Consider the following 18,258-nt stretch of genomic DNA (forward strand, 5'->3'; position numbering starts at 1 on the left):
GCGTCCCGGGGGCACCGGAGTCCGGGGCCGGGAGGAAGAGACCCAGCCTGGCCCGGCCCGCGCCCGCGCCGCCGGCCGGAGAACGTGCCCCGCGCAGCCGCCGCCCGCCTGCGTGCGCGCCCCGGCCCCGCCCAGGCGTGCGCATGCGCCCCGGCCCTCCGCCTTCGCGCACCGCAGGCTGGCCGTCCGGGACGCGCGCGCGCTCCTCTCCCCTTCCAGCCCATCCCCCCCAGCCCCCCACCGACCTACTTTACTGTCTCCAAACTCGGGCAGCCCACCTGGCCCCCGACGACCCCAGCCCCTGCACCGGGTACCCCGACGTTCCATCCAGACCCGCGTTTCACCAGGGCGGCGCGCGGCGACCTCGCGCCCCGCGGAGCCCCGGGCTCGCGCGCGCCCGCCCGCCCCCGGAGACAGACCAGCGCGCGCGCCCCGGGCCGCCTCCCCCCAGCGCGCGTCCGCCCCGGGGCTCGCGCCGCCGCCGCCGCCGCCGCCGCGCGCGCGCAGCTCAAGTAAAGGAGGAAAAAAAAAAGGGGGAAAAATAGAAAGCGGCGGCGGCTGCAGCAGCGATCCGCCGCCGGACTGGGCCAAGCCGGGCGGCGGCCGCGCGAGCCGGCGATCCAGGGCACTGGCGGCGGCCAGCCAGGGCGGGCCGTGTTCAAAAAAAAAAGTCGCGGCGGCGGCGGCTGCTCAGGGAAGGAGGCCTGAGGGCCGCGTGCAGCGGGCGGGCAGCTGGGTGGGCTGGGGGCGGCCGCGCGGCGTCCCGGAGCCTCGGGCCGCCCGGAGCCGGCGGGCGGGCGGAGGCGGAGGCGGCGGCGGCTGCAGCGGCTGCAGGAGCGGCGGCGGCTGCGGCGGCGGCGGCGGCATCTCCTCCTCACATGACCCCACTGTTTGTCCCCGTGATCAGCGCGAGCGGCTCCCGTATCTCCTCCGTCCCCTCCTGCCGCGCGGCGTGAGCGCCGGGCTCGGGGCCCCCCCGGCCGCCCGCCCCCTCCCCTCCCTCCCTCCCCTCCCCTCCCCTCCCCCCCGGGCCCCGCGCCCCCCCCGCCCCCGCCCCCCCCATGGACATGCTGGACCCGGGTCTGGATCCCGCTGCCTCGGCCACCGCTGCTGCCGCCGCCAGGTAAGATCCCCGGCCCGGCCGTGCCCCCGCGCCCCGGCCCCGGCCCCGGCCCCGCGGCCTGCAGGCCGGGGCCGCCATGATCCCGAGCGGCCGCGGGCCCGGCTCAAAATGGAGGCCGCCGGCGCGGGGGGGACCTGGCGCCTCCCGCCCCCGGCCCCCGGCCTCGGCGGCGCCCCCGGCCTCAGGCGCGGCCGGGTGGGACTGGGGCCCTGCAGCTGGGCGCGGGGGCGGGGGCGCGGGCGCGGGCCGCGCTGACCCTGCTCCCTCCTGTGCCCCTGGCAGCCACGACAAGGGACCCGAGGCGGAGGAGGGCGTCGAGCTGCAGGAAGGTGAGTGCTTGCCGGGCCGGCCGCGCCCGGGGAGGGCTGGGGGCGCTCGGCGCGGCCCTGACCGTGCCCCGACCCTCCTCGGCCCCAGGCGGGGACGGCCCAGGAGCGGAGGAGCAGACAGCGGTGGCCATCACCAGCGTCCAGCAGGCGGCGTTCGGCGACCACAACATCCAGTACCAGTTCCGCACAGAGACAAATGGAGGACAGGTGAGCGGCGGGCCGCGAGGGCGAACGGGCGGGCGGGCGGGCGCGCCGGGAAGGCTCGGACCTGGCCCCAGCGCCGGCCTCGCCGCTCTGCCGCCCCCTGCAGGTGACATACCGCGTAGTCCAGGTGACTGATGGTCAGCTGGACGGCCAGGGCGACACAGCTGGCGCCGTCAGCGTCGTGTCCACCGCTGCCTTCGCGGGGGGGCAGCAGGCTGTGACCCAGGTGGGTGTGGACGGGGCAGCCCAGCGCCCGGGCCCCGCCGCTGCCTCTGTGCCCCCAGGTCCTGCAGCGCCCTTCCCGCTGGTAGGTGCCCTGCCACCCCTGGGTGGGGGGGGGAGGGAGTGGAGAGGGGACACTGGCTCTGCTCTTGGGGAGCCCCGGGGGTGGGGCAGGTGTCGCCCAGCGGATGCTGCCTTCAGGCCTCAGGCTGCATGGGGCCAGATCCCTGTTGTGCACCGTGAAACCTGGGGACAGTGCTCTTGGAATTTTTTTTTCCCGCAAAATGGGAATGATGTGTCTTAAGAGGAAAGTTTCTTAGAGTGCGAAACGGATTTGCTCAGCAAGTGATCGCTGACCTCCCGCCATGTTCCAGGGCTGTTTGAAACACAGGACAGAATGCTACACGCAGAAGGAGTCCCCACTCCTGTTAATTGCAGAGAATGCAGTAAACCCCAAGCACAGCAATGAGGGGACGGGATGGAGGAACAGAGAAAGCTAAGGGTAGCCTCTGCCCTCCTACTCCCCAGGCTGTGATCCAAAATCCCTTCAGCAATGGTGGCAGTCCGGCGGCCGAGGCTGTCAGCGGGGAGGCACGATTTGCCTATTTCCCAGCGTCCAGTGTGGGAGATACTACGGCTGTGTCCGTACAGACCACAGACCAGAGCTTGCAGGCTGGAGGTGAGGAGTAGAAGTCAGATTGGCAGGTGGGGGAGGCAACGGGCCCAGCAGGGAGGGAAGCCCCCCCAGCCAGTTCTGACTTCACCCTGCCTTGCCACTAACCCCCCACTCTCCCTGCAGGCCAGTTCTACGTCATGATGACGCCCCAGGATGTGCTTCAGACAGGAACACAGAGGACGATCGCCCCCCGGACACACCCTTACTCTCCGTATGTGCAGGGGACACCTGGAGGGCCTGGTGTTGAAATGGAAGGAAGAGGGGTTTCTGGAGTAGAAGCTGGGCAGTTAGCATGAAGTGGGCACATGGTGTAATGTTTTTTTTCTTTGCCTGTTTCTGCTGCTCTAGTGCACATAAAGTATCATGTCTTTTGTTTTTGCAGATGGATTTACCTTGCAAAGATAATTTTCAAATCTAATACTTAGCAGATGCTTGGGCAAACAGCTCTGCGATAATACATGCCCCCTTTTTTTTTCCTCCTCTTGTAGAAAAATTGATGGAACCAGAACACCCCGAGATGAGAGGAGAAGAGCCCAGCACAACGAAGGTGAGGACAAGGTGTGGCTCCGGGTCCCCCTGACCACCACCCTCACAGGCTCAGCCAGCCCTGGAGTGTGGAGTGACAGAGAGAGAAGCCACTCCTGGGCAGGCCACAAGTGCTCCAGAGGGCTTTGCTGGACGCTGTAAAGGTAGAAAGTGAGCAACGAGGGGAGAGTACAGTGTCAGAAGTAGAGGGACAGGGAGTGTGAATTGGAACTGGCCATTTGTTGACCCGGCTGGTGATCTTGAATTCATGGCCCACATCTAAGATGGTGGACTTCACACTCCCATACGGATTGCCTGCCCCACTTGAAAAATGGGGCTGACCGGGCTCACGTGGGCTGACCTTTCCACGTGGCAGCTGTCATGCTCACATCCCGCACTCCCATGCCTGCCTGGCCTCCAGAAGTAGGTCTGTTCCCCCAGGGAGCACATCTGAGGGAGAAACTGCATGAAGTTCTGCCTCTGGCTACCTAAGGCCGGAGCATCCTGCCCTTTCCAGAAACACCAGGTCTCACCTCAGGTCATTTGGCCTTCAGCACTGTCCCGCCCCGCCTGTCAGTAGCCACTGCAGTGGGCACAGCACTGTGCAAGTGCCAGGAGAGTGCTTACACCCAAACAACCATCATTCAACAAATATTTACTGCCCGTGGGTTCTGGGCTGAGCGGCACAGGCCCTGTGCCAGGTCTGGAGTCTGGCCTGGAGCGTCAGGGAGGCTCAAAGGCCTGAGGGCTTATGTCTCATGGGTCTCATGGGACATTGATGGGGGGTGGGCTGGGGTGACGCTTCCCTAGGGAGAGGGGAGTGTGGGTCAGGTTACTTTGTGGGGTGCTGGTTTGGTTGTGGGAGAAGTTCCATTTAGAATGCCTCAGGAGGGAAGATCGGGAAGGCCTCGAATGCCCGAGTGAGGGGCTGAATGCTGAGTCCTAAAGGTGGTGATGGGACTGGGGTCTGTGGCCCAGGTAGTTGTGTTCTGAGCAGCTCCTCCCTGAGTTCAGGCGTTCATTCAGCGCGTGCATACTACGACCAGCCCCCCTTTTGCGTCCTCAGATATGGCAATGCAGCAGATGATAGGACAGACAAGGTCTCAGCTCTCTGTGCGCGTTCTGGTGGGAGAGATGGGAGTCACACAGCCGCATCAGGCAGTGCAGGCAGTCACAGGCAGGAGAGGAAAGCTGGGGAAGAAGGTGGCGGGTGATGGCGGCATGGTAGTGTGCTCTGAAGGGCTCTTCGAGAGGTGACATTGAAGCAGATCCCTGAAGCGACCTGAGGGAAGGGGCCTGTTGAGAACCTCAGGAGAGTCCCGGGCAGAGGGAAGAGCTAGAACACAGGCCAGGCCCTGAGCCAGGGCCGCCATGGTGTGTCTGCAGAAGAGCAGAATTCAGGAAAGGAAAGAGGAAGTTGGCGCAGTGGAGGGGGCTGCCCAGGCCAGATGGTGGAGGACCTTGGAAGAAGTCCCCAGTGTGGCTGTCTGGGCTCCTGTGGTTTTATTCCAGGGTGATGAGAAGCCAGCAGAGGGGTTTGGGTTGTGGAGGCTGTTGGCAAGAGTGGTGGGAAGGGGCTGGGAGGTAGGAGACCATACGACTGTCAGGCCTGAGACAGGGCAGGGGTTGGGGGAAATGTGGGGAGGACTCCAAGGCTGGAGAATAAGGGTTTCGTGCTGAACTCCCCTCCATGCTTGGAAGGGAAGGGGTGCATCTGAGCTTGGTTTTGAGATGCAGTGAGTTTGAGGGGCCCCCAGAGCAGCCCCAGCCCCACGACTTACCTGTGGTGGGGCGTCAGGGTGGTTCTTAATCTCCGTACCTGTCTTCCCTCTGTGAAATGGTGGAAGCACAGCCGCCCCGGGCACCTGGTGGGGATGCAGTGAGTCTTGGTGGCCACACAGTAAGGCGAAGAGAGGACTCAGAACCCTCCCACCCCACTCTCACCCCCGCCTCTCCCTTAGTTAATCTGACTCCAGGCAGCCTTGAAACTTTCTCACCCTGTGAAGCAGTCTTCATCACCTGCCCACTTCTCCAGCTCCGTCCTGTCTCCGCTTTCCTGACTTGCAGAGCATCTGCCCCAATCTGCTCATCCTCCCAGTACCCTCAGCCATCTGGCTCATGGCTCTACCAAAACAGCTCCACTTCCGGTCACCCGTGGTGACCCCATTGCCACATCCACTGGCCTCCTTTGCTGTCTGGGCTCCAAGCATCTGATGCTGCCTGTTTCCCTCTGTTCCTTTCTGGAATCTTCCTTTCTCCTCCATCCTCTCTGATTCTCCTGTGATCTTTGCCTTTCCTACCCCACTGTTAACAGTGAAATTTCCAGGGCTGTCCCAGTTCCAAGTGAGTAGATGGGGGTGCCGGGGAATCTGTGTTTTCCATCAGCTCTTCAGGTGATTTGTCATAGTGGACAAGCTTGAGAAACTGCTTTGGCTGCGAGTGTTTCTTTTTTTTTGAGAAGGGGGTCTCACTCTGTCACCCAGGCTGGAGTACAGTGGCACAATCACAGCTCACTGCAGCCTTGACCTCCCAGGCTCAAGCGATCCTCACACCTCAGGCTTCTGAGTGGCTGGGACCACAGGCAGGCGTCATCACATGGGGTAATTTTTTTTTATCTGTAGAGTGGAGGTCTTGCTATGCTGCCCAGGCTCGTCTTGAACTTCTGGCCTCAGGCAGTCCTCCGGCCTCGGCTACAGGCCTGAGCTGCCACACCCAGTCTTGCTGGTGTTTCATAAGGTCCGGCCCCTCCCGTCGGCCTCAGGTGTATGACTTGTGAGGCCCAGCGATGGGCTCGGAAGCTCTTGGTCAGTATCCCCCAAACTCTGTTCCCCCTTGTAGGTGTTCCTCTTTTTTCTTTGCTGCAGAAGAGTGTGTGACTCACAAAAAGTTGAGGACTGTTCCTTGATGTCCTCCCAGGCTTCGCCCACCACCTGGCTCCTGGTAATGCAAGGAACTGTGTTTCCATCCATTCCCTTCCTTTCACTGCAACTCCAGCCCCACGTTTTGAACTACCTATTCGAGATTTCTGTCTCTGGACATCCCTGTAATGCCTCAAACTCAACTCGCCCAAAAGAGAATGTGCCATCTCCCGTCTCCAAAGGCTTTCATGCAACCTTCTTCTTTGCAGAGCAGCAAAAGCTACCCCTGTCACAGCTGCCCAAGCCAGAAACTAAGACCAGAGCCGCTTTCAACTCTGCCCTCTTCTTCCCTTATGGCCACAAACCCCAAGTTTCTCTTCTGTGGTGATTTCAGATCCGCTTCTCTCACTTCTTTTTCCCTCCTTCCCACCACTTCTTGGTACTGCAGGAGCTTATCCCAGAGTCACAGACTCAAATGCCTGCAGGGGCCTGAGGGAGGGAGGTGCACTTGGCATCTCAGGAAGGGGTGTGTGGCTGGGTGTGGTGGCTCCCGCCCGGAATCCCAGCACTTTTGGGATTACATTTTGGCCAAGACGGACGGATCACTTGAGCCCAGGAGTTTGAGACCATCCTAGGCAATGTGACAAAACCCTGTCTCTACCAAAAAAATTAAAAATTAGCCAGGCCTGGTGGTACATGCCTGTAACAGTCCCAGCTACTTGGGAACCTGTGGTGGGAAGATGGCTTGAGTCCGGGAGACAGAGGTTGCAGTGAGCTGAGATTACCCTCCAGCCTGAGCAACAGACCCAGACCTTGTGTCAGAAAAAGATAGGAAAGGTTGTGGGGGGCCCCCAGTGATCTGGGGCATGTGTGCGCTGCCTGAAGGGTGGCCCTTGCCCAGTGCCTTCCCCTTGCTGCCCTGTCAGAATCTAGGGCCACTGTTGCCAGAAACTCTGAGAAGCTAGAAATCGAGACTTATGTGAAATCTGATTTTTAGGTGCCAGATTAGATTGCTTTTTCCGTTTCATTGATTTCTACTCTTAATGTTACTAATTCATGCTTCTACTCACTTGGTTTTTTGTTTGTTTGTTGTTTTGTTTTGAGATGGAATCTCGCTCTGTCACAGTGGCGCAATCTCAGCTTACTACAACCTCTGCCTCCCCGGTTCAAGTGATTCTCCTGCCTCAGTCTCCCAAGTAGCTGGGACTACAGGTGCCCGCTGCCACACCTAGCTAGTTTTTGTATTTTTGGTAGAGACGGGGTTTCACCATGTTGGCCAGGCTGGTCTCGAACTCCTGGCCTCAGGTTATCCACCTGCCTCAGCCTCCCAAAGTGCTGGGATTACAGGAGTGAGCCACTGCACCCGGCCCCTTCTACTCACTTTGGATTCAATTTGCTAGGTTTCATGCTTTAGCTTCCCTGGCACACCCCAACCCCAGCTTTTTAAGGTAATTCTTTTTTTTTTTTTTTTTCCAATTTTCTACTAAAATCTTTATTTTACAGGATTAATGTTTCACAGCAGGGATTGAGATGATTCTTAACCTTTCTCTTTGCTTAACAACATTTAGAGTTGCCAGTTCACTCCAGCATCACTTTAGCTACATCCCACTGGGATATGTTGTTTTTGTTATCATTCAGTTTAAAGTGTTTTCCAATTTTCCTTGTGATTTCTTCTTTGACCTTTCTGTTATTTGGAGGCAGGTTGCTTAATTTCCAAATATTTGTGGGTTTTTCAGATATCTTTTTGTTATTGATTTTTAATTTAGTTCTGTTATGGTCAGAGAACATACTCTGTATGATTTCAGTTCCTTGAAATTCGATGAGACTTACCCGACGGGCCCGAATGTGTCCTAGCTTGGCGGAAGCTTCTGGGGCATTGACGAGGACAGGTGTCTGCTGCTGTCAGGCAGAATGTCCCCCCAGGTCAGTGAGGTCAGGCTGGTTGAGTGTTCAGGCTTTCTATTCTGATTTTTGTTGTTGTTGTTTACTTGTTCCACCAATCAATGAGAAAGATGTCCATGTCTCTCACTATATTTGTGGATTTGTCCATTTCTTCCTTCAGTCCTGGCAGGTTTCGCTTCTGAATTTTCTCTTTTTTTTTTTTTTTTTTTTGAGACAGAGTCTCGCTCTGTCACCCAAGCTGGTGTGCAATGATGTGGTCTCGGCTCACTACAACCTCCACCTCTTGGGTTCAAGCAATTCTCGTGCTTCAGCCTCCCAAGTCGCTGGGATTATAGGCATGCACTGCTATGCCTGGCTAATTTTTGCATTTTTAGTAGAGCCGGGGTTTCGCCATGTTGGCCAGGCTGGTCTCAAACTCCTGGCCTCATGTGATCCACCCTCCCAAAGTGCTGGGATTACAGGCGTGAGCCACCCCACCCAGCTTCTGAATTTTAAGTTTCCTATGGAGTAACTGAAGTGCTTCTGTGGAATGAACGTGGCCTTGGTCCTAATGGGTCTTCCTGTATTTCAAATGTGCCATGATGGTCTTCCGAAGCCACAGGCTGGACAGCATTACCGCCTGCTAATGTCAGGGCCTGGATTCAAGGGCCTGGGACTCTGGAGGAGGAGGAGATGCGGTCCTGACCTGCGAGCAGAGCACACAAGGCCTTGACAACCGATCTTTACAACCTTTTCCCACCCCTGCATACCCTGAAATGGTTTTCAGGCCACCATTTCTGGGATCTTCCCAGCTGCCTGCCTTAGAGTCTTTCTCTCAGAAACCAGCCCGAATGTTTCCTGGATCTCTGAGGATTCATCCCACCCCCATTCCCATGCAGAGGCCATGGCTCGGCGCCTGGCGTTCCCGAGGCACTTTGTACCATCTTCAGTGATGACACGAATGCAATGGGGTTAGTGCCACTTGCCCACAGTGGTGCTGCGAGTGCCCATGGGGCGCACCGGGGCTGCTTCCACCCTGGACCCCAGCCTGGCGGAGGGCCTGGCACATAGTAGGGCGGGGAGTAGGTGTGTAAGAAGTAAGCTTGCTCTGGAGAGGATGTACCTGCAGCCGGCGCCCAGCTCTCGAGAGGACTGTGGGAGGGCAGAGGCTGAAACGAGGCCGCCTGCCGAGTTCCTCCACAGACCCCTGGGCGAGGAGCGCTCTGCTGGGGACTGCGCCAGCGGTGCCTCCAGGCCTGGACTCTCAGCTCCGCTGCTGCTTTTGGCCAGAGTTCCCAAAGGCGGGTGTGGTTGTCTTTGGTGGGAAGGTTCAGCGCACCGCGATAGTAATAGGGGAGCAAGCACTCGCTGAGCCCAGTGCAGGGCCTGGACCGTGCTCCATAGCAAGCACTGATCTTGGGCTATTGGTTTTGGAGGAAAGAGGGAGCACAAGGATGGAAGGGGCCAGGGAAGAGAGGTCACGGTGGGAGAAGGAGAGTCCGCATCCATCGGAGGGTTTGTCACTCAGGCCTGAGTGGGAGGCACTGGAGGCAGGGAGAGGCCAGTCAGCAGCATGCGGCCACAGCCCAGAGAAGCCAGAGGGGTTTGCTGGTGGGTGGGCCCCAGCCTTTTCAAGGGAACGGCAGGTCTGGGGAGCTGCCGATCTCGGGGTGTGAGGGTAACGGGCAGGCTGTGGCCCACCCCTCCTTCTCAGGCTCACTGGACCCCTGACCGGTTTCATCACCATTATCCAAGGCTTTGAAAAGACCCCCTGGCCTTCCTGCCACATGTGCCCTAGCTATAGGGCTTCGTTCCCCTCCACAAATGGTGCAGACAGCATGAGCCACCCTGGCAGGGGGCTGGGGGTCCGTGGGGTAGGAGTTGGGGGTAGCTGAGCGTTCTTTCCTGTCCCCACGGTGCCTGGTGCTGGGGCTTGGCAGCCAGGGTTGGGACAGCCTGGCTTTAGCAGGTCCTGAGTCAGGGGTCTCAGGCTCCGCAGCACACAGTCCCCAGGCAGGTGTCAGGATGGGATGTGGCCAGAGAAAGGCATGTGCTCTGTCTGGGGATAGCTGCCACCCAGCTGACACAGTTGGCATGAGATTGTGGAGTTTTATGGAGTAAAATCACAAATCTGGGTTTTTTAAGTAAAACCTTCTATGAGTTGCCATCTCTGGCCTTCAACATAGGATTTGGGTCTTTCCTGGGTGAGCTGGTGCTTTGTGGGCCAGGCCCTGGGAGCTGCAAGTACCAGTTGGGATCTGCCATTGCCCTGTGGAAGGATTTTAAGCAGGGGTGAAACATGGTCAGACTTGGATTTAGAGATGAGGAAAAAAAACAAAATCACGGTGCCAGAGTCTCTGGGGAGACTGGAGAATGCAGTGCAGGGGCCGCAGGAGCCAAAAAGGGGCACTGGTCCTGCGAAGAGTGGCTCTGTCCATCCCTGCCTTCCAGTATGTGCCCACTGTGACCAGAGCTCCATTTCTCAAAAGAAGCCAGTGATGCCAATTACCATGAGAAATTTCCTTATTTTTAACTGTCGATTAAAATTTGTACAAGTATGGTGGGGCAGGCCTGCAAAATGATCTCCAAGTGCCTGGCCTTTGATGCCCGTCCTAAAAGCATGTGTGGCACTGGAGGGCCCACGTTTCTTTGTTCCTCTTGAGAAGCTGGGGTGGGGGCCGGCTGGGCTCAGGGTGCGGCCCCTCACTTCCCAGGGCTGTGGTCTCGGTGGGGCCTGCACTGTTCCTGGGTGTCCTTGGGCTGAGCCTCTGCCCTGTGAGGACGGCCGCTCAGGCATGATCCGTCAGCGAAGCCGTGGCTGTGACTCTGTTTTCCGCAGTGGAGCGGAGGCGGAGGGACAAGATCAACAACTGGATCGTCCAGCTTTCGAAAATCATTCCAGACTGTAACGCAGACAACAGCAAGACGGGAGCGGTGAGCACCCCGGACCCTCAGTGTCTGCGGTGGTCCCGGCCCCCGACCCTTGCATGCAGAAAGTCCAACAGCCATGGGGCTCGGGAGTCATCCCTGGGGTGGAGGCCGGTGGGCGGTGCCTGCCCTAAGGCTCCTGGTCCCCTCGCCCCCCAGAGTAAAGGAGGGATCCTGTCCAAGGCCTGCGATTACATCCGGGAGTTGCGCCAGACCAACCAGCGCATGCAGGAGACCTTCAAAGAGGCCGAGCGGCTGCAGATGGACAACGAGCTCCTGAGGCAGCAGGTGGGTGCGGGGCCTGGAGCGGGTCAGGGCCCAGGAGCCCCAGATGCAAGGCGCTGGCCCTCAGCTCCCTTGACCTCCGTCGTGTCCGCCAGATCGAGGAGCTGAAGAATGAGAACGCCCTGCTTCGAGCCCAGCTGCAGCAGCACAACCTGGAGATGGTGGGCGAGGGCACCCGGCAGTGACGCCCGCCACCACCACGCAGCCGCCGCCGCCCACGCCGGCCTCTGCTGCCCCCTTCCCCAGCCCTTAGCACAGAGAGGGACACATGCCCCTCCCCCAGCTGCGTTTTTTTATAGTAGATTTTTAACAAAAAACGGGGAGAAATAATGCATTTCTGTGGATACAGTGCCCACCGCCCTCCTCCACTTGGAAACGGTATCCTCCCTGCCCATCCGTCTGTCTGTCGCCCTTCTCCCGGCCCTCACTAAGCCCCGGCACTTCTAGTGGTCTCACCTGGAGGCAAGAGGGAGGGGACAGAGGCCCTGCCACGTCCCGCTGCCTCCTGCTCTCTGGAGGTACTGAGACAGGGTGCTGATGGGAAGGAGGGGAGCCTTTGGGGGGCCACCCGGGGCCTGGACCTATGCAGGGAGGCCACGTCCCACCCCACCTCTTGTTTCTGGGTCCCTGCTCCCCTTTGGGGGTGTGTGTGTGTGTTTTAATTTTCTTTATGGAAAAATTGACAAAAAAAAAATAGAGAGAGAGGTATTTAACTGCAATAAACTGGCCCCATGTGGCCCCCGCCTTGTCTGCTTGTGTGTTTGTCCATCTCAGGAGTGGGGAGGGGGCCTGGGGTCTGCAGAGCTCCACGAGGCATGGTTCTGCTGTTGTGCACATGGCTGTGCATGGTCCCTGCCAGCTGCACCACCCATTACCCAGTGGTTGGTTGGATGGATGGAGGAATTAAGGAATGAATGTCCCCTTTGAGGCCCTAGACGTGCATGAGGGTGTGGGGAGCTGGGGTCAAGGACATGTCCCATGTTGGAGGAGAGGCAGGGGTCTCCGTGTCAACAGTTCCTGAAAACACAACCAGCCCCTGGCCCTGCCCTGCTGGGCCAAAGCCCTCCCCTCTGCACCAGCCAATAGTGGGGCCTGGCCTTGAGCCCCTCACCCCCAGGGAGGGCAGATGGCCAGGGCGCCAAGCTTGGCCCGTCAGCCTGTCGCCTTGCACCAAGGCTCTGGCGCCTGTGCTGTGACCCCTGCCCCTGCTGATGATGAAACCTGTCCTCAGCTGAGATGCAGCGATGCCTGGTAGGGCTGGGGGCTGCTCCTGTGTCTCCCCAGGTGAGCACACCCCTATTCACTGGGCCCTGCTTCAGCCTGCAGCACCCTTCAACTCCCAGGAGCTGGGCTTGCCACTCTGCTCACCTTGTGGAGCTCCATCTGCCTTTCCTCCCCAATTCCCCCACTCCCTGCACTCGTCTCTTCCCACAAGAGCCCTGTCTCCTTTTCCTAGCTATTCCCATCTGAGGCCATCTTTATTCATTTAGTTTTTAGAGACAGGGTTTCACTCTCACCCAGGCTGGGGTGCAGTGGCACACAATCACGGCTCACTGCAGCCTTGACCAACTACAGGTGCGTAGCACCACAGCCAAGTTTTTGTATAGATGGGGTCTCGCTTTGTTACCCAGGCTGTGACAAGAGGAGCCTCCCACGTGGTGTGGATGAGGAGGCAGATGGCAGGGCCTGTGCATTTCTGTGCTTGAGTGGGCCTTGAAAGTGGTTCAGCAACCAGGAAGAAGTGTTCATTCCTCGACAACAACATCCCCGGGCTCTGGTGACTTGGCTGACACTGGATGGCCCTGGAATGAAAAAGGCAAAGAGGCAAAATGTGCAAGGGCCCATCTGGAACCAAGGTTTGTTGATCCCCTGGGCCGTGTGCACCCTGAGCTGGGCCTGGTAGTGGAAAGGAATGAAGGCACTGCAGTCAGGCAGCCTGGGTTCATCCCCCAGCTAGTGGTGTCCTAAGGAACCGGCTCCCCAAAAACATCCCTGGCTTGTAGTGCTTGCCAATTTCTGGGTGTCAAGACTCCCACTGCTGCTGATTTCAGGATACCAGCATGATGCCACTGAATGCAGAGTTTCGAGATGTGCATGGTCTGCTATGTTGAGCCAGGTCTAGCATACCGCTGTGCCCTGCTGTGTTTTAGGGGAGATGGGGAAACCTGGTGGGTAAGAGCAAAAGCCCTGGAGTCAGGCTGTCCAGGCTAGAATCTCAGCTCTGCCTCTGGCTGAGCAAGCTTGGGCCATGCCCTGATCTCTGCCTTCAGTGCCTTTTCTGTAAAGTGAAGGAAATGAGTGTCCGACGGGGAGGAGGTTCCTAAAAGGGAGCAGGGTCTGGGGAGCCCAGGCCTCTGGGGTTGGGTGACTGAGAAGGCAGCCCCTGAATACAGAGCAGAGCTGAAGGTGGGGCAGTAAGTGCTGCTGGGAGAACAGGCAGCACAGGCTGAGTTGGTGCAGAAGTGAGTCAACATATGTGCCATCGTATAAAATGTACTCATCGGACTGTAGATGTTAGCTATTACTATTACTGCTATTTTATGTTTTATAGACAGGGTCTCACTCTGTCACCCAGGCTGGAGTGCAGTCACACAATCATAGCTCACTGCAACCTCAGCCTCCTGGGCTTAAGCGATCTGCCTCAGCCTCCCAAGTAGCTGGGACTACAGATGTGTGCCACCACGCCTGGCTAAATTTGTTTAAAATTTTTTTTGTAGAGATGGGGTCTCCCTATGTTGCCCAGGCTAGTCTTGAACTTCTGGGCTCAAGCGACCCTCCTGCCTTGGCCTCCCAAATTGCTGGGATTACAGGCATAAGCCACTGTGCTGGGCCATATTACTGCTGTCATTTATGGCCAAAAGTTTGCTCAAACATTTTCCAGTTACCAGAGCCACATCTCAAGGGTCTGACACTGGGAAAACACCACGTGCGGATCGGGCACACGCTGATGCTTGCCCTGCTCAGGGCTATCTAGTGTTCCCTGCCAGAACCTATGCACGTGTGGTGAGAGCTTAAAGCAATGGATGCTTCCCCCAACATGCCAGACACTCCTGAGGAGCCTGGCGGCTGCTGGCCATGCCCCGTGTGCATGTAGGCGATGGGGAAGTGAGTGGAGGAGAGCGGAACCTTGATTCTGCTCATCAAACTGCTTAACCGCTGAAGCAAAAGGGGGAACTTTTTTCCCGATCAGCAGAATGACATCGTGATGGGGAAAGGGCTCCCCAGATGGCTGGTGAGCAGTGTGTGTCTGTGACCCCGTCTGCCCCACCCCCTGAACACACCTCTGCCGGCTGAGGGTGACACAACCCTGTTCCCTGTCGCTCTGTTCCCGCTTATCTCTCCCGCCTTTTCGGCGCCACCACCTTCTTGGAAATGAGACAGAGCAAAGGGGAGGGGGCTCAGACCACCGCCTCCCCTGGCAGGCCCCATAAAAGCGACTGTCACTCGGTCCCAGACACCAGAGCAAGCTCAAGACCCAGCAGTGGGACAGCCAGACAGACGGCACGATGGCACTGAGCTCCCAGATCTGGGCCGCTTGCCTCCTGCTCCTCCTCCTCCTCGCCAGCCTGACCAGTGGCTCTGTTTTCCCACAACAGGTGAGAGCCCAGTGGCCTGGGTCCTTAGCAGGGCAGCAGGGATGGGAGAGCCAGGCCTCAGCCTAGGGCACTGGAGACACCCGAGCACTGAGCAGAGCTCAGGACGTCTCAGGAGTACTGGCAGCTGAACAGGAACCAGGACAGGCACGGTGGCTCATGCCTGTAATCCCAGCACTTTGGGAGGTTGAGGCAGGCAGCCCACTTGAGGTCAGTTTGAGACCAGCCTGGCCAACATGGTAAAACCCCGTCTCTACTAAAAATACAAAAGTTAGCCAGGCTTGGTGGCAGGTGCCTGTAATCCCAGCTACTCGGGAGACTGAGGCAGGAGAATTGCTTGAACCCGCAAGGTGGAGGTTGCACAGTGAGCTGAGATTGCACCACTGCACTCCAGCCTGGCAACAGAGCAAGACTCCATCTCCAAAAAAGAACAGAAATCAATGAAGCACCGAGTGACAGGGACTGGAAGGTCCTAATTCCATGGGTATTTACGGAACCCCTACGCCGTGTGGAGTCTTATTCTAGACAGTGGGGACGAGGCCATGAACAAGGTAGATGAGAGAGGAGATTTCTCCATCCTGGTCAGGGAATTTGTTAAAGACTGATGAAAACATGAATAAATAATTGTGTCTAGTACATTCTATTCGTGAATCTCATAACAGACAGTGGTAGAGTGACCGTGACCCATTCGCCACACAGTAGAGTCACTTTTTTGGTTTGTTTTTTAGAGACAGGGTCTTCCTCTGTTGCTGAGGCTGGAGTGCAGTGGTGCAGTCATAGTTCACTGCAGCCTCAACCTCCTGTGCTCAAGCAATCCTCCCACCTCAGCGTCCCAAGTAGCTGGGACAGCAGGCACATGCCACGGGTTGGGGGACCACAGGCATGGTCAAGGGGCTGGCAGTCAAGCAAGTGTTTCATGAGAAAGTGACAGTTGACCTTCGTCTTGGAGGGTGAGAGATGGAGGCAGCAAAGACCTAAGGAGAGGACAAGCCAGCATAGCCCAGGGTCAGGCTGAACAAGAGGAGATGGTGGGACTTGGGGATAAGGCTGAGGGGTGGGCAGTCCCTAAGTCTTGTGGGCAACCATGCAGACACTGATTTTTCCTTGGAATAAAGAGGAAGCCCCCATAAGCTTTTTTTTTTTTTTCTGAGATAGGGTCTCGCTCTGTCGTTCAGGCTGGTGTGCAGTGGCATCATCTGGGCTCACTGCAACCTCCGCCTCCCGGGTTCAAGCAATTCTCCTGCCTCAGCTTCCCGAGCAGCTGGGATTACAGGCGGCTGCCACCACGCCCGGCTAATTTTTGTTTTTTTAGTAGAGACAGGGTTTCACCATGTTGGCCAGACTGGTCTTGAACTCCTGACCTCAGGTGATTCTCCCACCTCGGCTTCCCAAAGTGCTGGGATTACAGGCGTGAGCCACTGCGCCCAGCCTCCTGTAGGTTTTTAAAATGGAGAAAACCACAATCTCACTGGCCATGTTTTAAAAAACTTAATCTGCCAGTCAGGCACCATGGCTCACACCTGTAATCCCAGAGTTTTGGGAGGCCAAGGTAGGAAGATCAGTTGAGCCCAGGAGTTCAAGACCAGCTTGGGCAACACAACCAGACCCCACCTCTACAAAAAATTAAAAAATTAGCCGGGTGTGGTGGCGTGCACCTGCTGTCCCAGCTACTCGGGAAGCTGAGGCGGGAGCATCGCTTGAGCACAGGAGGTCAAGGCTGCAGGGAGCTATGACTGTGCCACTGCACTCTGGCCTGGGCAACAGAGGAAGACTCTGTCTAAAAAACAAACAAAAAAAGTGACTCTGCTGTGTGGCAAATGGATTGAGGGGCAAGAATGCAGGGAGGTGTGTTAGGAGGCTGGCACTGGCATCCAGGCAGGGGAAGGTGATATCCCAAAGAAGAGTAGCAGCTGTGGAAAGAGGAGGAGGCGGATCTGGGAGGTTTTTTTTTTTAGGAAAAGCCGCCCATGGGAAGGTGAGCAGAAGCAAGAAAGCAAGGCCCCTCCTAAGAGTCCATTTGAGCTCTGGGTTTAAACCACTTGGAGAGGAGCAGGTTGCCGGGAGCCAGTCTCAGAGGTCCACTGGGCCCCCTGCCATCCTCTGCACCCCCTTCTGCTTTCACAGACGGGACAACTTGCAGAGCTGCAACCCCAGGACAGAGCTGGAGCCAGGGCCAGCTGGATGGTGAGCGCAACAGTGATGCCTTTCCTAGCCCCCTGCTCCCTCCCCATGCTAAGGCCGGTTCCCTGCTCACATTCCCTTCCTTCCCACAGCCCATGTTCCAGAGGCGAAGGAGGCGAGACACCCACTTCCCCATCTGCATTTTCTGCTGCGGCTGCTGTCATCGATCAAAGTGTGGGATGTGCTGCAAGACGTAGAACCTACCTGCCCTGCCCCCGTCCCCTCCCTTCCTTATTTATTCCTGCTGCCCCAGAACATAGGTCTTGGAATAAAATGGCTGGTTCTTTTGTTTTCCAAACCAGAGTGTCTGTTGTCCTTTCTCTCTGCCGAGTGTCTGTGCTAAGAGCTTGTCCTGACCCTGCCTTGCAAGCACCAGTGCTTGGTGGGTCATGTGGGGCTGGTGTGTCCTGGAGGTTGCCAGGAAAGTTGGTGAAGAAAATTTGTTTCTGTTCTCCCCCTTCATGTTGCAATAATAGGGGATGAAAGTTAATGTTTCCTCTCCTTGAGATCTTCCTAAAACAGCTGTAGAAATCAGTGCCTGTAAGGCAAGCTTGTCCAACCTGGAGGCCACATGCAGCCCTGGATGGCTTTGAATGCACCCAACACAAATTTGTAGTTTCTTAAGGCATTATGAGATTTTTCCGCAATTTTTTTTTTTCTCATCAGCTGTCATTAGTGTTAGTGTGTTTTATGTGTGGCCCAAGACAATTCTTCCAGTGTGGCCCAGGGAAGCCAAAACATTGGACACTGCTATAAAGGTTCTCAAAGTAAGATCCAGGGACTCCTTTTGTAGGGCTCCTGAAGGTGGAAACTACTAAGACTTTTTTTTTCCTTTTTTTTTCCTTTTTTTTCTTTCTTTTTTTTTTTTTTTTGAGGCAGAGTCTCTCTGTGTCACCCAGGCTGGAGGGCAGTGGCATGATCTTGGCTCACTGCAACCTCCACCTCCCAGGTTCAAGCGATTCCCCTGCCTCAGCCTCCTGAATAGCTGGGACTACAGGCACGTGCCACCACACCTGGCTAATTTTTGTATTTTTAGTAGAGGTGGGGTTTTGCCATGTTGTCCAGGCTGGTCTCGAACTCCTGACCTCAAGTGATCCACCCGTCTCAGTCTCCCAAAGTGCTGAGATTACAGGTGTGAGCCACCACGCCCGGCCTACAAAGATGTTTATTTGCCTTTTTCACCCTGGTTCTCTCATGAGTATACAATGGAGTTTCCAGGAGGCTCTGCGACACCTGTTGGCATCATCACCAGATGGCTAATGGATTGTGTGCTGGTGTATCTCACGCTTTTAAATGTCCCAGTTTCTAGCCCGGTGCAGTTGCACCATCCCTGCTACTCGGGAGGCTGAGGCAGGAGGATAATTTAAGACTGGGAGTTCCAGAAGAAGACCTGGTGTCAAAAAAAAAAAAAATGGGGCAACGAAAATGAGAGCAATACAGCTTTCAAGAATGG

General features: G+C 57.1%; 2 protein-coding genes across 7 annotated transcripts, besides 12 other annotated features; both read left to right on the forward strand.

Annotated features, from left to right (window-relative positions):
- Positions 33 to 182: a silencer, noted in NCBI's record as "silent region_10521". NCBI's record gives its function as "represses an Ori minimal core promoter by ATAC-STARR-seq in GM12878 lymphoblastoid cells {active_cell/tissue: GM12878}" and the evidence as "EXISTENCE:reporter gene assay evidence [ECO:0000049][PMID:35858748]".
- On the forward strand, positions 922 to 11,781 carry USF2 (upstream transcription factor 2, c-fos interacting). Of its 6 annotated transcripts, NM_003367.4 has the most exons (10): positions 922 to 1,123; positions 1,406 to 1,452; positions 1,541 to 1,659; positions 1,763 to 1,963; positions 2,407 to 2,557; positions 2,678 to 2,765; positions 3,043 to 3,101; positions 10,658 to 10,752; positions 10,906 to 11,034; positions 11,127 to 11,781. In NM_003367.4, exons 1-10 carry the CDS (start codon positions 1,062 to 1,064, stop codon positions 11,214 to 11,216), a joined length of 1,041 nt encoding a protein of 346 aa, NP_003358.1. In that variant the 5' UTR covers positions 922 to 1,061; the 3' UTR covers positions 11,217 to 11,781. The 6 variants fall into 6 exon arrangements, with proteins under 6 accessions (NP_003358.1, XP_005259254.1, NP_997174.1 ...); XM_005259197.5 differs by having other exon boundaries at positions 10,906 to 11,781; NM_207291.3 differs by lacking the exon at positions 1,763 to 1,963.
- Positions 1,341 to 1,530: a silencer, noted in NCBI's record as "silent region_10522". NCBI's record gives its function as "represses an Ori minimal core promoter by ATAC-STARR-seq in GM12878 lymphoblastoid cells {active_cell/tissue: GM12878}" and the evidence as "EXISTENCE:reporter gene assay evidence [ECO:0000049][PMID:35858748]".
- Positions 1,671 to 1,990: a silencer, noted in NCBI's record as "silent region_10523". NCBI's record gives its function as "represses an Ori minimal core promoter by ATAC-STARR-seq in GM12878 lymphoblastoid cells {active_cell/tissue: GM12878}" and the evidence as "EXISTENCE:reporter gene assay evidence [ECO:0000049][PMID:35858748]".
- Positions 2,278 to 3,017: an enhancer, noted in NCBI's record as "H3K4me1 hESC enhancer chr19:35761221-35761960 (GRCh37/hg19 assembly coordinates)". NCBI's record gives its function as "activates a minimal SCP1, AML or CMV promoter by ChIP-STARR-seq in primed H9 embryonic stem cells {active_cell/tissue: H9 hESC(primed)}" and the evidence as "EXISTENCE:reporter gene assay evidence [ECO:0000049][PMID:30033119]".
- Positions 11,982 to 12,481: an enhancer, noted in NCBI's record as "500 bp enhancer 344 fragment used in low-throughput reporter constructs". NCBI's record gives its function as "activates both an SV40 promoter and a TATA-containing promoter in HepG2 cells {active_cell/tissue: HepG2}" and the evidence as "EXISTENCE:reporter gene assay evidence [ECO:0000049][PMID:23512712]".
- Positions 11,982 to 12,653: a biological region, named in NCBI's record as "HNF4 motif-containing MPRA enhancer 344".
- Positions 12,154 to 12,653: an enhancer, noted in NCBI's record as "H3K4me1 hESC enhancer chr19:35771097-35771596 (GRCh37/hg19 assembly coordinates)". NCBI's record gives its function as "activates a minimal SCP1, AML or CMV promoter by ChIP-STARR-seq in primed H9 embryonic stem cells {active_cell/tissue: H9 hESC(primed)}" and the evidence as "EXISTENCE:reporter gene assay evidence [ECO:0000049][PMID:30033119]".
- Positions 12,160 to 12,304: an enhancer, noted in NCBI's record as "145 bp enhancer 344 fragment used in the MPRA reporter construct; PK_construct_1563". NCBI's record gives its function as "activates an SV40 promoter by MPRA in HepG2 cells {active_cell/tissue: HepG2}" and the evidence as "EXISTENCE:reporter gene assay evidence [ECO:0000049][PMID:23512712]".
- Positions 12,225 to 12,238: a transcriptional cis regulatory region, noted in NCBI's record as "HNF4 motif; enhancer activity is lost when this motif is scrambled". NCBI's record gives its function as "necessary for full MPRA enhancer 344 activity {active_cell/tissue: HepG2}" and the evidence as "EXISTENCE:site-directed mutagenesis evidence [ECO:0005528][PMID:23512712]".
- Positions 12,744 to 12,823: an enhancer, noted in NCBI's record as "active region_14463". NCBI's record gives its function as "activates an Ori minimal core promoter by ATAC-STARR-seq in GM12878 lymphoblastoid cells {active_cell/tissue: GM12878}" and the evidence as "EXISTENCE:reporter gene assay evidence [ECO:0000049][PMID:35858748]".
- Positions 12,914 to 12,963: an enhancer, noted in NCBI's record as "active region_14464". NCBI's record gives its function as "activates an Ori minimal core promoter by ATAC-STARR-seq in GM12878 lymphoblastoid cells {active_cell/tissue: GM12878}" and the evidence as "EXISTENCE:reporter gene assay evidence [ECO:0000049][PMID:35858748]".
- Positions 14,350 to 14,859: an enhancer, noted in NCBI's record as "H3K4me1 hESC enhancer chr19:35773293-35773802 (GRCh37/hg19 assembly coordinates)". NCBI's record gives its function as "activates a minimal SCP1, AML or CMV promoter by ChIP-STARR-seq in naive H9 embryonic stem cells {active_cell/tissue: H9 hESC(naive)}" and the evidence as "EXISTENCE:reporter gene assay evidence [ECO:0000049][PMID:30033119]".
- HAMP (hepcidin antimicrobial peptide) lies at positions 14,488 to 17,103 on the forward strand. The gene is made up of 3 exons (NM_021175.4): positions 14,488 to 14,627; positions 16,749 to 16,808; positions 16,898 to 17,103. Exons 1-3 carry the CDS (start codon positions 14,538 to 14,540, stop codon positions 17,000 to 17,002), a joined length of 255 nt encoding a protein of 84 aa, NP_066998.1. The 5' UTR covers positions 14,488 to 14,537; the 3' UTR covers positions 17,003 to 17,103.

Source organism: Homo sapiens, chromosome 19, assembly GCF_000001405.40.
Source record: "Homo sapiens chromosome 19, GRCh38.p14 Primary Assembly".
Lineage (NCBI taxonomy): Eukaryota > Metazoa > Chordata > Mammalia > Primates > Hominidae > Homo > Homo sapiens.